We start from the raw sequence: 18,059 nt of genomic DNA on the forward strand, positions 1-18,059 counted from the left end.
TTCTTAGAGCTCACAGAGGATGAGAAGACATTTGAGCTCTGACCAGCCAGAGTGAAGAGTCCTCAGTGAAAACCAAGGAATTCATTGAAGACCTCTGAGCAGTTATTAATTAGTAGTAAGGTCAAATTATTTCTGGAATGAAGACTACTCTAGACCTACCCTAATAAAGCTTAAAAACAGTCCACAAATGAATCAAACTCATCCACAAATAACTGGCTGAAAAAAACAGCACAACCCTTCCTAAAGGGGGACAATTCAGACACTGAACAAGGATGCAATTCACAACGTCCAGTATTCAATAAAAAATTATTATTATTTTTTGTTGTTGTTGTTTGTTTTTGAGACGGAGTTTCGCTCTTGTTGCCCAAGCTGGAGTGCAATGGAGCGATCTCTCGGCTCACTGTAACCTCCGCCTCCCAGCTTCAAGCAATTCTCCTGCCTCAGCCTCCCGAGCAGCTGGGATTACAGGCGCCCGCCACCGTGCCCAGCTAATTTTTTGTATTTTTAGTGGAGACGGCGTTTAACTATGTTGGCCAGGTTGGTCTCAAACTCCTGACCTCAGGCGATCCACCCACCTTGGCCTCCCGAAGTGCTGGGATTACAGGCGTGAGCCACCGTGCCCGGCTCAATAAAAAATTATTAAACATGCTAAGAAGCTCAACTCATTTGAGCTTAAAACTTCTTAAAGCCTGAGGAAAAGGAAAAATATATAATTCTCTCTTTAAATGTTGAACAGTTTGTGACATATTAAAGATACTTAATCAGAAGAAATTAATTCTACAATATTCTTAAAGGCAATCTTTTAGCTTTTAGATAAAAAACATTTGATAAAATGGGTTTCACTTCTTCTAGGATGACTTCCATCACAATTCTATTTTAAGACTGTTTTATGTAGATTTGTAATCTGGTGTTTTGAAACAACATAAAACTTGGTTTCTCTTTTAACAAAACTGAGAAGAGTTCTCATGCCTTCTTTTTCTCAAGGTAAATATATCCAGTTCTCTCTATCTTATTCTGACAAAATTTTTCTTATTCTCTGGATGCACTCTGGTTCCTCCGTGTTTTTTAATTAAATGCCATTGCTGCCGTGTTAAAACTAGGAACAAATAGTTCTACAAAGACTAGAAGTCCAATAAACCATGGGAGTATAAAATATATTGTCATAGTTGATGTTGTCAATAATAACCATGATAAAGGTCATAAAATACTAGTTTCTAAAATTTATGAATCCTTTTATCTATGTCAGATGCTGTGCTAAGTGCTTCATGACGGCTATCTCATTTTACTCTCACAACTCCACGAGATAGATACCATTGTTTTGTTTTATAAATGAGAAATTTAAATCACTGAAAGGTTTATAAATGAACTCTTTCCACACTTATACTGTATAATAAGCCACTCAAAAACTCAGCGGTTTAAAACAATACTCATTCATTATCACACATCTACAGGTTGACTGGAGTTTGGCTGATCTAGGCTGGGCCCTAGTTGGGCATCTCTGCATCTTACTAAAAGATCGGTTCAGGCAATTCTGTGCCATATGCATGTGATTCTGGGACCAAAGAGCTTGCTTTGTATGTACTTCTCATGGCAATGATACAGGCACAAGAGAGAAAGCAGAAATATGGGGTCTCTTTAAGATCTTGGATCTGATTTGGCACACCGTTGCTTCACCACAACCTATTGGCCAAAGCAAGTCACATGGCTAAATTCAAAATCAAGGATTGGGGAAGTATACTCCACCAAAGTCCATGGCAAAGGTGTGGATGCTAAGAGGCATGAAGGATTAGGGAGAATAATTCAATGTAGCACAAAACGCTAAATAATACTTCCAAAGTCATACCCATTGTAGCAGTCAGGGATTCAGTTTGGCTGAATGTAGCAAAAAACCCAAATAATAGTAGCTTAATAAAATAGGAGTTTATCTTCTCTCATGCAAAGTCTGGAGATAGCCAGTCAAGAAGCTGATAGGGCTGTTCCATGACGTTACCAGGAACTCAGGTTCCTTTTTCATTTTTGTTCCACCATCCTTAAGATGTGACCCTCATGTTTATGTTCACAGCAAGGCTGCTGGAGCTTCAGCCAGCATATTCTCATTTCAAGTAGAAAGAAAAGGAAAGGCAATAGACATAAAATGGAAGTGCTTTCCCTGACACCTCATCCAGTGATTACACTTACATCTCATTGGCTAGACCATGTCACAGGCCACTCTCACTGAGAAAGAGGTTGAGAGATTTTTTTTTTTAAAAGAGAACACTGTCATTCCCAACACAGGGTTAAATTAGTAACAGAAAGAGAAGAAAACATTGACATTAAGTAGGAATTAACAGTATCAAACATACTTCAGGGAGTATTTGTGCCAGGATTTGCCCATTAGTTTAAAACTATACTTAATATGATGGTATTATTCTTACCATCTTAAAAGATATTTAATATTCTAATATATAATATATGCTCATGGAAGACATTTTGGTAGCTATCTTAAAGTATAAAGAAGACAAATCAGCCATAAGCCATTACAAAGTTACAACCACTGTTAAAATTTTGCTATCTCACCGTCCTTTGGTTGCTTTACCTTGTATACTTACAGTATATTTGTATATCTAAATTGGGTTCATTCTCTACAAATAGCCAGTCTCATCTCCCTTGTATTTTTAAATTTTGTTTTATAGATCATAAGACAATATATACTCATTATGGAAAAATCTAGAAAAAACAGAAAAGTATAAAGAAATAAAAGTAATTTACCTATAATTCCATCCTTAGATCTAATTGCTTGCTGTGATTTTGAAAAACTGACCTACACTTTTTGTGCATTATATGTATGTCAATATAGTTTAAGTCATATTATATAAAAATTTCGCATTTGGCTTTTAACAAATATAAGACAAACACAAGGTTTTTGTTAACATAATTTTAAATACCTGCCTGATATTTTACTTAAATAACGTGTTTAGATTTCTAAGGCTGTGCTATTATAAATCTTGTTACTCTGAACATCTATTTTTACACAAGCTTCTTCCACATTCCGGGAACATTTTCTAGAAGGCGGAAATAAAATTGTGTTATATTATGATGTATATTCTTGAGTTTTTGTGTTGATTCATTTCCTAGTAATCAGGGAATGTCCTTAAGCAAAGCATATTCTGCATATTTGTTTGCAGTTTGAGAAAAATTACTGTTTAAAAATAAAACCTTGTTGTTTGATGCTCTCCTTCTAATGAGTATTTAATCCTTTTTCACACTTTCACGTCTGAAGGTGGGCCTAACGATATTATCGTTAAGGGATAAAACCTCATTATTTTGACTCGGACACTAATGTGTTCTTATCATGTGCTTCTTGAATGAGCAGTTTTCTCTTCGGGCATCTTGGAGCGTTCTGTTACAGACTTCCTTTGAACAACGGGACATGAAATAAAACCTCGATACTTTTTACTTTTGTTTTTTAAAACTAGATACTTTTACAAGAACTCTATTTGCCCAGGATACAGCCCTTCCGTTTTCCCAGCCTCTCCAACTGGCTCCTCCCTCTCCCCCACCCCGCTTTCAAAGCCGCCTCATCATTCCCACGCTAGCAAGTTAATATCCTTATTTACGAGAACTTGTGTTTCACAGTCTTAACCACGGAGGTTAAGATGTCTCTGCCTGAAATTCCTTTGTTTTTAAAGTTTTTCCAGCCCATCTTTTGGGGGAAAGACCCTCAAAGTGGGACCCCGCCCCACCCCCACCTGGCCCCGCCCCCTCTGGTCCGGAGCCTTCCATCTCCATGGTTACGCGGCGGTGGCTGCGAGCGCCCAACTGCTCCGACCGTCGCGGTGAGGGCCCCAGGACAGAAGCAGACAGACACGGCTCCTGCTGTCGATTCCGATCCAGGTCAGCCTACTCGGGGCTCCGCGCCCTTGACCCGGAGGCGTACCCCGCCAGGCGGCGAGCTTGGGGCGGCTGGCGGAGCTCGGGCGGCTGGAGGACCGCGTCCTGCCTCGTCGAGACTTAGCTCTCAGTCTCGATCCTTTAGGCTGCGCCGCCGCAGAGCTGGAACAGCGGTCCATTCCTGCCGGAGGCGCCACCCCAGGGCTGCAGGGCTGCCCTCTAGCCTTTGCGCGGGTGCCTGAGGCCTCCCGCTTCTGTTTCGCTCCACTGGCTACCCCAGAAGCCGGACCTCGGGAGACTTAGTAATTGGAGGGTGGGTGCAGGGAAGGTGCTGAGCCGCGTCCCTAGCGACCCGGCAGCGGCGCGCATGCGCACACAGATCCGGAGCGCGCACACAGATCCGGAGCGCGCACACAGATCCGGAGCGCGCACACAGATCCGGAGCGCGCACACAGATCCGGAGCGCGCACACAGATCCGGAGCGCGCACACAGATCCGGAGCGCGCACACAGATCCGGAGCGCGACGGACTCTCCCACTGACTGGCACTTGCGCATGCGCTGCCTGTGATCTTGGAGTACTGATTATAAGCTGTTTTAAGCGATTCCCTTAAGCCGCGCACTGTTGTAACCACTAAAAACAGGACTAATTTAGTCCTCACACCTCTGGAAAGAAGTGAAGCAAGTGCCCAAGGTCTCACAGCTGGACAGTGGTCGGGTCACCATGGAATCCAGGCAATCTGGTTTCACTGGACAAAATGCCTAGTGCTTCGTACTCATCCATTGGAAAGCTAATAATGCTGAGGAGTTGGCTTTATCTACCTGATATTGCCTTTGTTATACTCTACATGCCAACTTCCATTGTGCTTAGTTACTGATATTCAGGAAAATCAGAAAACTCGATCAAAACCTACCACTTTTTCCTTATAGTAAATGCTTTTTTTTATCGAGAGTCTGAACTCTATTTTAGATGTGCGGAAAAGATCATTTTAATGATCTGAGCAAGAATTGTTTTCCAAGATTCTAGTACAGTTCTGAAGGGTCATTTAATGAATGTGGTGGAATAAGCATTTCTCCTTTTAAAGCTGTACTCTTGGGTTTCTCATTAATTTTACCTCCCTCCCCTACAAATACTGCTTAGCCTTTTTTTTTTTTTCCTGAGACACAGTTTCGCTCTTGTTGCCCAGGCTGGAGTGCAATGGCACCGCAACCTCCGCCTCCCGGGTTCAAACGATTCTCCTGCCTCAGCCTCCCAAGTAGCTGGGATTACAGGCGTGTGCCACCACTCCCGGCTAATTTTGTATTTTTAGTAGAGACGGGGTTTCTCTGAGTTGGTCAGGCTGGTCTCGAACTCCCGACCTCAGGTGATCTGCCTGCCTTGGCCTCCCAAAGTGCTGGGATTACAGGCGTGAGCCATCGCGCCCAGCCTGCTTAGCCTTTTTTTTTTTTTTTAATTAAGAATATCATGATAGGAATATATGTTTAGTGACCATAATTTAAATAATTGAAAATGTTATTTATCAAATGTTTCAATTATTTGAAATCCCAATCGTTGTCTGTCTTCAATAAAGTCCTTCATTTTTAAAAATAATGAAAAACAGGAGAGGCCTAGATACTAATAAAAATGCTAATAAGCTAATAGATGATATTATGACTGTTTACAAATACAATATTGCAGAAATCAAAAGAGGAAAAAAATAAATTTGCATAAAACCACGGTTTTTTTAAAAAAAATTGTTGTTTTATTTAGCCAGAATGCCTCCAACTCAGGCCGAAAGTGTTATAAGGAGTATTATACGAGAAATAGGACAAGAATGTGCAGCCCATGGAGAGATTGTTTCTGAAACTCTGATTGCTTTTATGGTAAGAAGAAATATTTTTGTGATTACTGTTTTATTAAGAGGTTTTTTAAGATGTGGTGTCCATTTTCCCCTTTAAATTCTGTGAGGCTTTCATAAATGTTTTTCAGTTGAAGCATAACGAGATAATTGGACAAATTTGTGAAAACATTTTTAAAAAGTTTATAGAGCATGTGAGTTCTAGATTTATAGAGACATTTAGAAGACCTTGATGAGTTTTGGAAACATCAATAATGTTCTCCTGTGTGGGAATTTTTTGACGTGTATTTTTGTTTGCCGTTGTTAAAAATTACTCATTGCTGTGGTTTCTCTGTTCTTGCTTTTGGTTAACAATACACAATAAAAATACAATAAAATATGCCATAGTTTCCCAATTGAAAACCTAGCCATTGCTTTCAACTTATTTCCCCATATAACTTTTCTAGCACCATATTCAAGTTTGATGTTTGTTGCTTCCTTTTTTCAACCTCTAACAAGGGTACTGATGAGTTCAGTAATAAGAAGAATAGTTGGAAAACCAACCCCAACGTAATCAAGAGGTAGTTGTTTAAAAAATGGAAACATATTAAGCTAATAATATGAAATAAAATTGCTTAATGGATTCTTTCCTAGTTAATGGACTCGTTCCTACTTTTTTCTAGGTGAAAGCTGTTGTCCTGGATCCAAGTAATGGCTTTAACATGGATAGAACCCTCATGAAAAGTGATGTGCAGAATCTTGTTAAGGTGATTACCCAACAGTCCTCAAATTTGCAATTACTTATTCTCAGTTGTAAATACAATATTTGTATTAGTCATTATTGCCTTCAGCTGCATGAAACAAAAGCCCACAAAATAGTAGTATACACGAGATATTTTTCTCATAACACAAAATCTGGAGAGACATAGACCATTCTTCCTGGCTTCCTGGGGCACACCATCCTTGCAATATGGTCATCTGGTGGTCAAAAGATAGCTACCCTGCCTCTAGGCAGAAAGAAGGGGGAAAGACAAAGGGCAAAATATGTGTGCCAATTGGGTCTATCACCTTCTATCCAGAAAATAATAATTTTCCCAGAATCCCTCCCATCTACTTAACATTTATTGACCAGAATGATATTGTAAGTGACCCAGGGACATTTCACTTCTTTTTTCTTTCTTAGATGAATAAATCCTTGCCCCAATCCAAATTGAGGCTCTGTTAGTAAGGAAGGAAGGGCAGGGAAATTGGGCAGGTAGCAGCATCTGCTACAGTATTTTAGTGAAACCTTGTTACTAATGTCTTACATTGCAAACATTAACTAGTTCGTCATATACTGTGAAGTTAAATAGAACTAAATTAATTTGCATTTCTCTAATGCTGAGTGATGTTGAGCATTTTTTTCATGCTTTTTGGCGATTTGTATGTCTTCTTTTGAAAAATATCTATTCATGGCCTTTGCCCACTTTATAATGGGGTTATTTGTTGTTGTCGAGTTGTTTGAGTTCCTCGTAGATCCTGAATATTAGTCCTTTGTCAGATGCATAGTTTGTACATATTTTCTCCCATTCTGCAGGCTGTCTTTTCACTCTGTTGATTATTCATTTTGATGTGTAGAAGCTTTTTAGTTTATTTAAATCCAATTTGTCTATTTCTGTTGCATTTACTTTTAAGTCATGAATTCTTTGCGTAGGCCAATGCCCAGCCCCCTAGGTTTTTTTCTGTTATTTTTATAGTTTCAGGTCTTACATTTAAGTCTTTAATCAATCTTGAGTTGTTAATTTTTGTATATGGTGAGACATTGGGATGGGTTTCATTCTTCTGCATATGGTAATCCAATTTTCCCAGCACCATTTATTGAATAGGATGTCATTTCTCCAGTGTATGTTTCTGTTGACTTTGTCAAAGATCACCTGACTGCAGGTATGTGGCTTTGTGTCTGGATTTTCTATTCTGACAATGAGATACAATCTTACACCAGTTAGAATATCTTTAAAAAGTAAAAACATAACAGATATTGGTGAGGATGCAGAGAAAAGATGGTATAAAGCTTGTTCTTAGCAATAGGGGAAGTGATTGTGGCAGTCAGAAATTTTATTGGAAAGCCGTGGAAGAGAATCCAGGAGGGGCAGAAAATAAGTTGTTCTCCTTGTCATGACCCAAGAAGAGTTTTCCATTCCCCCCAATTCCCCAACTCAACTAAGTTGGAAAGAATCAAGCCAATATACTTTTAGTACGACAGGTACATAAACTAACAACATATGTTATATTCAAGTGACAATTTTTTTCTCAACTAAAAATCATGTGGATGAGCTATTTTTTTAAGTGTGCATTTTAGAACAGTACTTCTGTATGTGGAGGGATCCAGGTGCACAGGCTTCTGCAAAGACATAGTGTCCAATCCTCAGTCTTGCATTCTCCCCTCCCTCCTCCCAGGAAAGCAGGGCTGGTGCTCAGGGAGATGGGTTGAGAGTGATGCTGCCAAGTGCCTGCCAGCTGCAGTATATTCAGCCTACAGAGTGAGCAGTGAAGGAAGTGGGGGAGGGAGGTGACCAGTAGAGATGAGAGAAGGAAAGAAAAACTGAGGTTGATATTCAATATAAAGAGGCAAGGCAGAGAAGGGGAATGAGCCATCTATGTGGGGGCTCATAGGAGAAAACAGACCAGGAGAAGAAATATCAAGGGTAGAACCAGAGAAATTTTGTGAAGAGAGGGGGGTGGTTGCAGCAGCTTTTTAATTTTAATTTAATTTAATTTAATTATATTTTATTTTTTGAGACAGAGTCTCGCTCTGTCCCCCAAGCTGGGGTGCGGTGGCATGATCTTGGCTCATTGCCATGTCCACCTCCCGGGTTCTCAAGCGATTCTCCTGTCTCAGCCTCCCGAGTAGCTGGGACTACAGGTGTGTGCCACCATGCCTGGCTAATTGTTGTATTTTTAGTAGAGACGGGTTTCACCATGTTGACCAGGCTGGTCTCGAACTCCTGACATCGGGTGATCTGCCCACCTCTGCCTCCCAAAATGCTGGGATTACGGGTGTGAGCCACTGCACCAGCTGCAGCAGCTTTTTATAAAATAAAATGAGGAGTGTTGTTCAAGGCACAAATAAATAGTAATGAGGAACTCTAGAAGAGTTTTAGACTGGAATATAAGCTTTGTGGAACATTTACCCACATTTAGACTGCTCAAACTAACCAAAACATCAGGTTTCTTGCCTTCAACTAGACTACTAGCCACCTGGCATGATGATTATTGGTTAACTCAAGGGAAATAACTTATTACTTAACAAATGTTATTGGTAGTAAAGATATGGAATCAACCTAAGTGTCCATCAACAGATGATTGGATAAAGAAAATGTATACACACATACACACAATGGAGTTTTATTGAGCCATAAAAAATAATGAAATCATGTCTTGTGGCAACATGGATGGAACTGGAGGCTACTATCTTAAGTGAAATAACTCAGAAAGTAAAATACCACATGTTCTCACTTATAAGTGGGAGCTCAATAATATGTACCCAGGGACATAGAGAGTGGAACAGTAGACATTGAAGACTTGGGAGGGTGAGAGGGGAGCGAGGGATAAGAAATCACTTAATGGGTACAATGTCCACTATTCAGGTGTTAGCTACCCTAAAAGCCCAGGCTTCACCACTACACGCAATATATCCATGTAACAAAATGACACTTGTACCCCCTAAATCTATAAAAATAAAAAAAGTTATTGGTTAAATAAACTATAAAGCCTGAAGTCCTCAAGGAGAAAAAAAAAATAAAAGGGGTTATTGGTGAATCAATATCAGGAACCACTGCTTTTCCCTTTATTTTTGAAAATAACTTTAGGAAATACTTGACTGTCTCAAAAACTATAACTAGAAGTATTCATGGGACATTCTTTTCTAGCTTTGTATGACTCGGCTATTGGATACTAAAAATCCATCCCTGGACACTATTAAGATGCAAGTCTACTTCGATATGAATTATACGAATCGAGGTAATGTATACTACCTATTTTTATACTTAAAAAATTTCATACTGTGTTTCAGCTAAGAAGGGCTTCATTTGGTTGACAATGAATTTAATTGTTTAATCAATTTAACAATTTAATTTTTGGCAATCAACTTTGAGGAATACAACGTTAGAAATGCTAAATGAAAAAAAACCATTGGCCTTTGTGAGTGTTAAAAGTGAATTCCAATTATTGTGCTCATAATTATTGTTTCCAGTGGCACTAATACATAATAATTAGGAATTCAGCCCATTGAAGTTAAAAGTTTTTAATTTATAGATTTTCTTGTTCCTGGTTTATGTTATTATCTCATTATAATTACCTAAATTATGTAACTATTCAAAAATGAACGATGGGGAGTTTAAGTTTAGAAAACGTTTCAATATGTAAATTTTTTTTGAGACAGAGTCTTGCTCTGTCACCCAGGCAGGAGTGCAGTGGCACGATCCACAGATCACTGCAACCTCTGACTCCCATGTTGAAGCAATTCTCCCACCTCAGCCACCCGAGTAGCTGGGACTATAGGTGTGTGCCACCATGCCCAGCTAATTTTTGTATTCTTAGTAGAGACGGGATTTCACCATGTTGCCCAGGCTGGTGTCGAAATCCAGGCCTCAAGCGATCTGTCTACGCCTTAGACTCCCAAAGTGCTGGGATTATCAGTGTGAGCCACCATGCCTGGCTCATTATGTAAATAATTTAATGCATACATCAAAGACAAGTTGGAAACAAAAGAAAAAGGAAAATGTAATTCTCTATGGACTGCCTCTGCACCTGCTATATAAAACAAGTCTATTTCTCTATGGACTACCTCTACCTCTACTGTATAGTACAATCATTATTAACAATTTGGTGATGTTTCTCTTTGTTAGTTTCAGTTATGCTACCTATGTAAAAGTATATATCTTGCGTTTTTGCTTAATAGTGAAATTTTAAAGCAAGAAATAGTCATATAATTGATAAAATTTAACCTATAGATTTTTAAATTTGTTATTTAAACATATTTTTAATTTGCAAAAAGTTCTCAGTTGGTTTTGTGGCAAGGGTATAGGTATAAACTGTGCGTGGTGGATATGTTAATTATTGACCTTGTAATAGTAATATGGGTTGTCTTATAGAGTCATTGCAGAATTGTACTTGCAACAACTCAGGGAACATAGTGTCCTGCCAAAGTGAAGCCTGTCCCTCAGCATATCACAGGAGGAATGAGGAGGGATACAGTTCTCGATGCAACATCGTATTATCAATAATGCTTTTCAGAGGAAATTTATCTAGAACTGAAATAAAAATACACGTAACCGAAAGGAACATATATACTACATATATATTTCTGCTACTATATATGCTTATGTATAGTATACTACATGTGCTTACATATAGCATAAATATATAATATGTATATATTTATTTTTTCATATAGTATTAAAATTAAAATATATAATATATATTTTGTAGAAATGGTCTTCTTTATTTTCTGCTTAATTGGGAGGTTTTAGCCTTTTCTGATATCTCCTGTTTAGTTTGGCTGTTTAAAGTCTTAGGTGTTTTGACAAAGTATTCCATTTAAGTCACTGTAATAAATCTTCCCTCCTGGATTTTTGTCTTGAGGCTACATGCTGGCCACTGTTTTTTATTTCATTATTACAGCTTAAGAAATTACTTGTTTTCCTGAAGTAGAATTGCCATATCCAATCCAGTTTTTCTCTAGTTCTTACGTAAGAAGAATTCTAAAAATTAAATATATAGAACATTGTTATTTGGCAATTTTAGTGGAATTTCTCGAAGAACATCACCGGGTCCTAGAGTCTAGATTAGGCTCTGTTACCCGAGAAATTACAGATAACAGAGCATGTGCTAAAGAAGAATTGGAAAGCCTCTACCGGAAGATTATCAGCTATGTGTTACTCCGCTCTGGCCTTGGATCCCCTACAGACATCAAGACTGTCAGAGAGGTAACAGGTAAAAAGTATAACCAATTTCCATTTCATAAGTGAAAATATATGGTCATTGTATTTTATAAAACATGTTAAATTAGAAGTGTTAAAGATTGAAGTTCCCTTTTTATCTGAAAAAAAAAAAAAAATCAGCACAAATGAGTTAAAATGTACCCAGTCTCCTTTTACACTGTGTATCCATTCTAAAACTCAAGTAGCACCTCTAGAAAGTGAAATATTGCTAATTTTCCTAGAGCTGTACATATCTAGGCACCTATTACACCCCATTAGAGAAACATTGATAGTAGGATTGAGGGTACCAGGCTGATTGAGTAAATGGAAAAGCTGAAAACGGATATTTCATATTGATGAAAGAAATTGAGTCTGTCATTTAAAATGGGTGATGGAATGGGGCACCATTTTATCCTTAGGAAGTCTTTGCCCTCTTTCATCCTTTAAAATGAGGAATAGGAAAAATGTCTAGCTCTCCTATGGCTTTCTTCCATAATTATTTTAAAGCATCCATTTTTTGGCTCAGATCCCTAATTAGAAAGCTTGTTTTCATGCCCATTGCCAAAAAGTTACTGCTGGATGCTTAATTATTAAAAATGGACATGAGGCAATGGCATAACTCTCAGTAATCCAGCTTTGATGCGTGATAAGTTTTATTATGTATCCTATAATCAGGTATCAGTAATTTAAAGAATCATATAAGTAACTCAGACCCTTAACTTGCTGCTAAAGAAAAACGTTATTTAACGTCTGATATCTTTATTCTATCATTTTGTTTTCCTTTTTTTTTTTTCTGGTTTATTTTAGCTGCTCTACAGAGTGTTTTTCCTCAGGCAGAGCTTGGGACATTTCTAACTCTTTCTAAGAAGGACAAAGAACGCCAGCTGAAAGAACTCACCATGATTGTTACTGGAATTCGTTTATTTAACAGAGACTGTGGAAAAGGAGGAGAAGGCATTGATGATTGTAGGTATATCATTAGATTAATTCTAAAGGTTATGTATGTTTAAAATTTAACTTGCACAGTGAGGAAAATAATAAACAACACACCACTGGCATTCTTAAATTTAAGATTTGCATTTTTTACTGTTTCCTTAAGAATAACTACTGTTTATAATGTGTAGTGATTTTTACTTTTGCTGGGGCAAGACTTTACATTTTATGTACCATGAAGCTAGTAGGAGAAAGTGAATCAGTGAAAGCAATGAAGGGTCCTGCTCAAAGCTAACCTCCCAGTTCAGCAGGGCTTTGTGTTCATTACTGCAAGTCCGTAACCAAAAGGGAGTACAATTTAGTTATTTAAAAAATAAAAATCTTCCTGAAAACAGTTCCTGGTGCAGTTAATGGAATGAAAAGATCCACGAGGAGATATTTCAAATCTCTAAATTCGGGGGCATTTACTTTGTGGTTATATACTTAATGCATTCTTTATAAGTTTGAAAGTACTTATGAAATATTTAATGAAGTACCTACCAGTAGAAGTAACTTCCTTATGAAATTTGGTACTCCTGTAGGCCCACTGATAAGGTGTTAGTGTCTTTCACCAAATCACTAATCTAGTATAAAAGGGTAATTTTTTCTATTTTAAAAACTGTTCTAAAAAGTCAAATTTCCATTTTCATAAATGACCCTCCCTTGCTAGACTATTCTGTCATTTTTCACCATCCAGATGAGTTTCTTAACAAACGTTCCTTTTTTTTTTTTTTTTAATAACTAGAAAAGAAGATATACAAAAGGAAGGGTCAGTGGCTTTTCTGGAAGCACATGGTTAACAACACATAATACCAAACTCTGCCTATTCTCTGAACTCTTCTATATTTAGTGGCAAAAGCTGACCTACTGTAACTGGGTTATCATTCTGTTAATATCTTTTGTTTGAACTTGTTTTAGATTCTTTTTTTTTTTTTTTTTGAGATGGAGTTTCGTTCTTGTCGCCCAGATTGGAGTGCAGTGGCGCGATCTCGGCTTACTGCAACCTCCGCCTCCCGGGTTCAAGTGATTCTCCTGTGCTGGGATTACAGGCATGCGCCACCACGCTCAGCTAATTTTTGTGTTTTTAGTAGAGACGGGGTTTCACCATGTTGGCCAGGATGGTCTCAATCTCTTGACCTCGTGATCCGCCCGCCTCGGCCTCCCAAAGTGCTAGGATTACAGGTGTGAGCCACCACCCCCGGCCTAGATTTTCTTTATGTTGTGGGACCCAGGAAACACATGCCTCATTATTACTAATTTGATTGGGGAGAAAAACCCTAACTTAATGTTTAAAATGTAACTACTTTCTAGGCTTCTTCTCCTTAATTGTTTTTAGTCTCCTTTATGGCTGCCTTTTCATACTCTTACAAACAGTGCCAGCTGTTCTCCATGTAGCAATCCCAGCCACCATGCAGCATATTGATTACCAGCTTGAGACTGCCCGGAGCCAGGTATACCGCTACACAGCCATCCTTGAGAAGGCAGCCAACGACCCACTCATGAGGGCTGAACTTCAGCCATATATGTTAAAAGAAGCGCTATATAATATACGACAATATGAGGTCTTCCTTCAGATCATTTTGGTGAGTTAAGTTCATAAGACCTGACCTTTTCTATATAATGCAATCTCTTTATATAAGGCCACATCAGGTAGAACCAGGTCACTAATTAAGGAGAAAACCTCAGTAACTGCTCGGTTTATATTGCTTTGGTAGAGTTAGGAATCAAAATAGAAACAGAAAAGTTGGGTTTTGATTTTAATGAAAATATTTTGGTAGAAGTTGAATTTGTATTTTTTCATTGGTACTTGATAATATGATTGTTAGCATGCTGTAGTTAAACAGTGGTGTATATGTAAGTAATACTATGTTTATTTTAGTTCAGAGCAAGTATGTAACATTGTTTGGCAGGTAGTTGCCTTTCAAATAATTTTTGTGTAATTATTTGTTCTCACTGTAACAACTGGTACAAAATATTTTTTTAAAGGTTTTTTGTAGGCCAGGCAGAGTGGCTCATGTCTGTAATCCTAGCACTTTGGGAGGCAAAGGTGGACAGATCGCTTGAGCCCAAGAGTTCAAAATCAGCCTGGCCAACATGGCAAAACCCCATCTCTACAAAAAGTACAAAACTTAGCCGGGCACAGTGACATGTGCCTGTATTCCCAGCTACTCAAGAGGCTGAGGTGGGAGGATCACTTGAGCCCAGGAGGCAGAGGTTGCAGTGAGCCAAGATCACACCACTGCACTCTGACAGAGGGAGACCCTGACCCTGACTCAAAAAAACGTTTGTTTTTTTTTTTGTTTTTTTTTTAAATATAGATTGGAGTCTTGCTATGTTGTCCAGGCTGGTCTTGAACATCTGGCCTCAAGCAATCCTCCTGCCTCAGCTTCCCAAAGTGCTGGGGTAACAGGCATAAGCCACCATACCTAGCCAGATAAGATTTTTATATCTGGTGTTTTTAGATCTAATGAACAAGCCAAACAGTATCCCTAGAGAGTTGAAAAATATGGTAAAGTGGTGGTTATAAACTTTTTAAAAAGTAGCAGTGACCTTTCTGTCAGATAGAAACTTACTCAGAATCTTACAAATATAAAACAGATATCTACATAAAGGGACTGGAGGACCTTTTCACTAAGGGATATCCCCTTGACACTCTAGGGTTGTAAGAAACACAGTCTGTTAATTACTGCATGATGGCAGGTTATGTTCCCACTTGTCACCGTTTACTTTTACACAACCTCTGTTTTCCAGTAACTATGAGATTCTCGGTTAGTGGAACTGTCTTTTGTATGAGTGAATGCTAATTTCTTGAGGGATAGAATAGGATGTATTCTGACCACCTCTTCTTTTTAACTTGCATTGTAATGACTTGGTCCTTCTATTGGATGCACTTGGTCTGTCCTCTCTCCTTACCTAGCTGTTCTGATGACATGACTTCATTCAAACTAGGGGTTGTCCTCACAACTAGCCTATCTAATTGTCTTCAGGAGGAAGGATCCTAGCTGGGAGGCTGAGGTTAGAGAACTGCTTGAGGCCAAGAATTCAAGACCAGCCTGGGCAACATTACAAGACCCTGTCTCTACAAAAAATAAAATTAGCCAAGCATGGTGGTACTAACCTGTAATCCCAGCTACTTGGGAGGCTAAGGTAGGAGAATTGCTTGAGCCCAGGAGCTTGAGGATACAGTAAGCTTTGGCTATGCCACTGCACTCCAGCTTGGGTAGCCAAGGAAGACCCCATCTCTAAAAAGAATAAATAAATAAATAATAATAAAAACCAAGTCACACTCTTGGGGTGGATATTTCCCTTTACATTACCTTGTGGCTATCAGCCTTATGTTAACTAGTCAGCTACTAAGGGGATTTTGTAATCAATTTATTTTGAAGTGCATGTGAGTCCACAGGAGTAGAACTTCACATTCACATTTGTCACCTGTATTCAGAGGTGATATTATAAGAAAGAACCTTGAGAAACTGTCACACAACTGTAAGGATGTTGCAGAAGATGTCATTCATTATATAGAATCTTCTCATAGCTTGCAATCATGAATCCACCAACTAAGTCTTAAATTCTCATTGGCGTTCTACTTCTCACAGCTGGAGAGGACAGTGAGTAAAATGTAGAAATGATGAGTGTGGTCTTTGCAACCAGACTACATGAATTCTAATCATGACTTTGCCACTTACTAAATCTGTGTCCGTAAGGAAGCTGCTTAACTTCCCTGTGCCTTGGTTTCCGTATCTGTAAAATGGGGTTATTCATAGTCTTCACCATGTAAATAAGGCGGCATAGTGCCTGGTGCAACGGCTCAATAAAGTGATGATGATGTTGTTTATGATTATCATCATCATCATTGTTAGGGCCTTAGCTGAACAGCTGTGATTTCATTTGTCTAGTGGAACAAGCTGAAGAGCTTTTATTTTTCCATACAGTATCTCATTTCCAAGCTCCTTGCTGCTCACGTTGTTGAGAAAGTTAATTTTCTTATCCAAGCACTCTTTATGGCTGTTTTGTACTGACTTTAGTCAGGATCAGGATGAGTTTTCTTAACTTTCTGATTCTCTGCTCAAACAGTCTTTTTTGTTTTGTTTTGTTTTGTTTTTAAACTATTCAGTCCTTCCCCATCAGTCTTAGTGACAATTAAGGTTGATTATTATGAAATGGATATTGGTTTAATCAGTATTATCTCTAGATTATAAACTGCATCAATTTAAAATTAGCCAAGATTTTTCCTATATTAAAATCTATGAATATTCGTTTTAAAGTCACATTATTTGAACTAATTAAAAATTTTAAAGTAGCAATTTTGATTTTTAAAAATTCTCTCATCAAAGTTTCAGTTTATGTGAACATTTTAAAAATCCAATATAGGCCGAGCGTGGTGGCTCACGCCTATAATCCCAGCACTTTGGGAGGCTGAGGCAGGCAGATCACCTGAGGTCAGAAGTTCGAGACCAGCCTGGCCAACATGGTGAAACCCCGTCTCTACTAAAAATACAAAAATTAGCCGGGCATAGTGGTGGGTGCCTGTAATCCCAGCTATTCAGGAGACTGAGGCAGGAGAATCGCTTGAACCCAGGAGACAGAGGTTGCAGTGAGCTGAGATCGTGCCACTGCATTCCAGCCTGGGCGACAGAGTGAGACACTGTCTCAAAAAGAAAAAAAAAATCCAATATATAGCCTGGGTAAGATAGTGAATTATTTTGTTTTAATCAGGCCTTTATCTTCTGCAGTGAACACATTGAAATATTCTAGAAAAGAAAAGGGAGTGATGATCGTAGTTTTGTTGACTCTTAACTGAGAGAATAAAATTCCATCTTCCATGGGCTTTTAAAGTGCAAGGCAGACACCAAAGAGGGAAAGCTGCATGTTATTGTGCAAGTAAGAGCTGCGTTTGACAGCACATTTGTTAAAACCTGTAAGTCAAGATTTTTGTAGAGTTATTTCCCCCCAAGCTATTTTTGCAGGGCCCATTCACAGACACACAACACAGGGCTTCTTGATTTTTCTTGATAAGGCAAGTAAAAAAATCAGTTAGGTGGAATTTGTGCTTGTTTTATTATATTTTATTTCTGTTGTAATAAGAACATTAAACATCAGAGATTCCATTCTAATTTCTGCTTCTATAAGTTTGACTAGACTTGTTGAAAATTGTCCGTGGAAGAAAGTATGAGGAACTTATAAAAAGTGTTTAAAAGGTAGGGGGAAGGGGAAGAAGACAAAGAAACATGCTGGGATCACATGCTTTTGCCAAACATTTGAATGTTATGATAAAATTTTTTTAAGTGATAGCATTTTTAGAGGACTAATATTATAATTAAAAACTCTAGATGGGCCGGGCGTGGTGGCTCACACCTGTAATCCCAGCACTTTGGGAGGCCGAGGCAGGCGGATCACCTGAGGTCAGGAGTTCAAGACCAGCCTGGCTAACATGGTGAAACC

General features: G+C 38.5%; 1 protein-coding gene across 1 annotated transcript in view; it reads left to right on the forward strand.

The window, feature by feature from the left end:
• Nucleotides 1–3,755: 3,755 nt before the first annotated feature.
• Nucleotides 3,756–18,059, forward strand: part of CFAP206 (cilia and flagella associated protein 206) — a 56,494-nt gene continuing 42,190 nt past the window's right edge. Inside the window, exons 1-7 of the mRNA NM_001031743.3 lie at nucleotides 3,756–3,873; nucleotides 5,619–5,731; nucleotides 6,369–6,452; nucleotides 9,594–9,684; nucleotides 11,470–11,658; nucleotides 12,453–12,611; nucleotides 13,992–14,200. Coding sequence (NP_001026913.1) covers nucleotides 5,624–5,731; nucleotides 6,369–6,452; nucleotides 9,594–9,684; nucleotides 11,470–11,658; nucleotides 12,453–12,611; nucleotides 13,992–14,200 — 840 coding nt within the window. The 5' untranslated portion in view covers nucleotides 3,756–3,873; nucleotides 5,619–5,623. The remainder of the gene's footprint in view (nucleotides 3,874–5,618; nucleotides 5,732–6,368; nucleotides 6,453–9,593; nucleotides 9,685–11,469; nucleotides 11,659–12,452; nucleotides 12,612–13,991; nucleotides 14,201–18,059) is intronic.

Source organism: Homo sapiens, chromosome 6 (assembly GCF_000001405.40).
Source record: "Homo sapiens chromosome 6, GRCh38.p14 Primary Assembly".
Classification (NCBI taxonomy): Eukaryota; Metazoa; Chordata; class Mammalia; order Primates; family Hominidae; genus Homo; species Homo sapiens.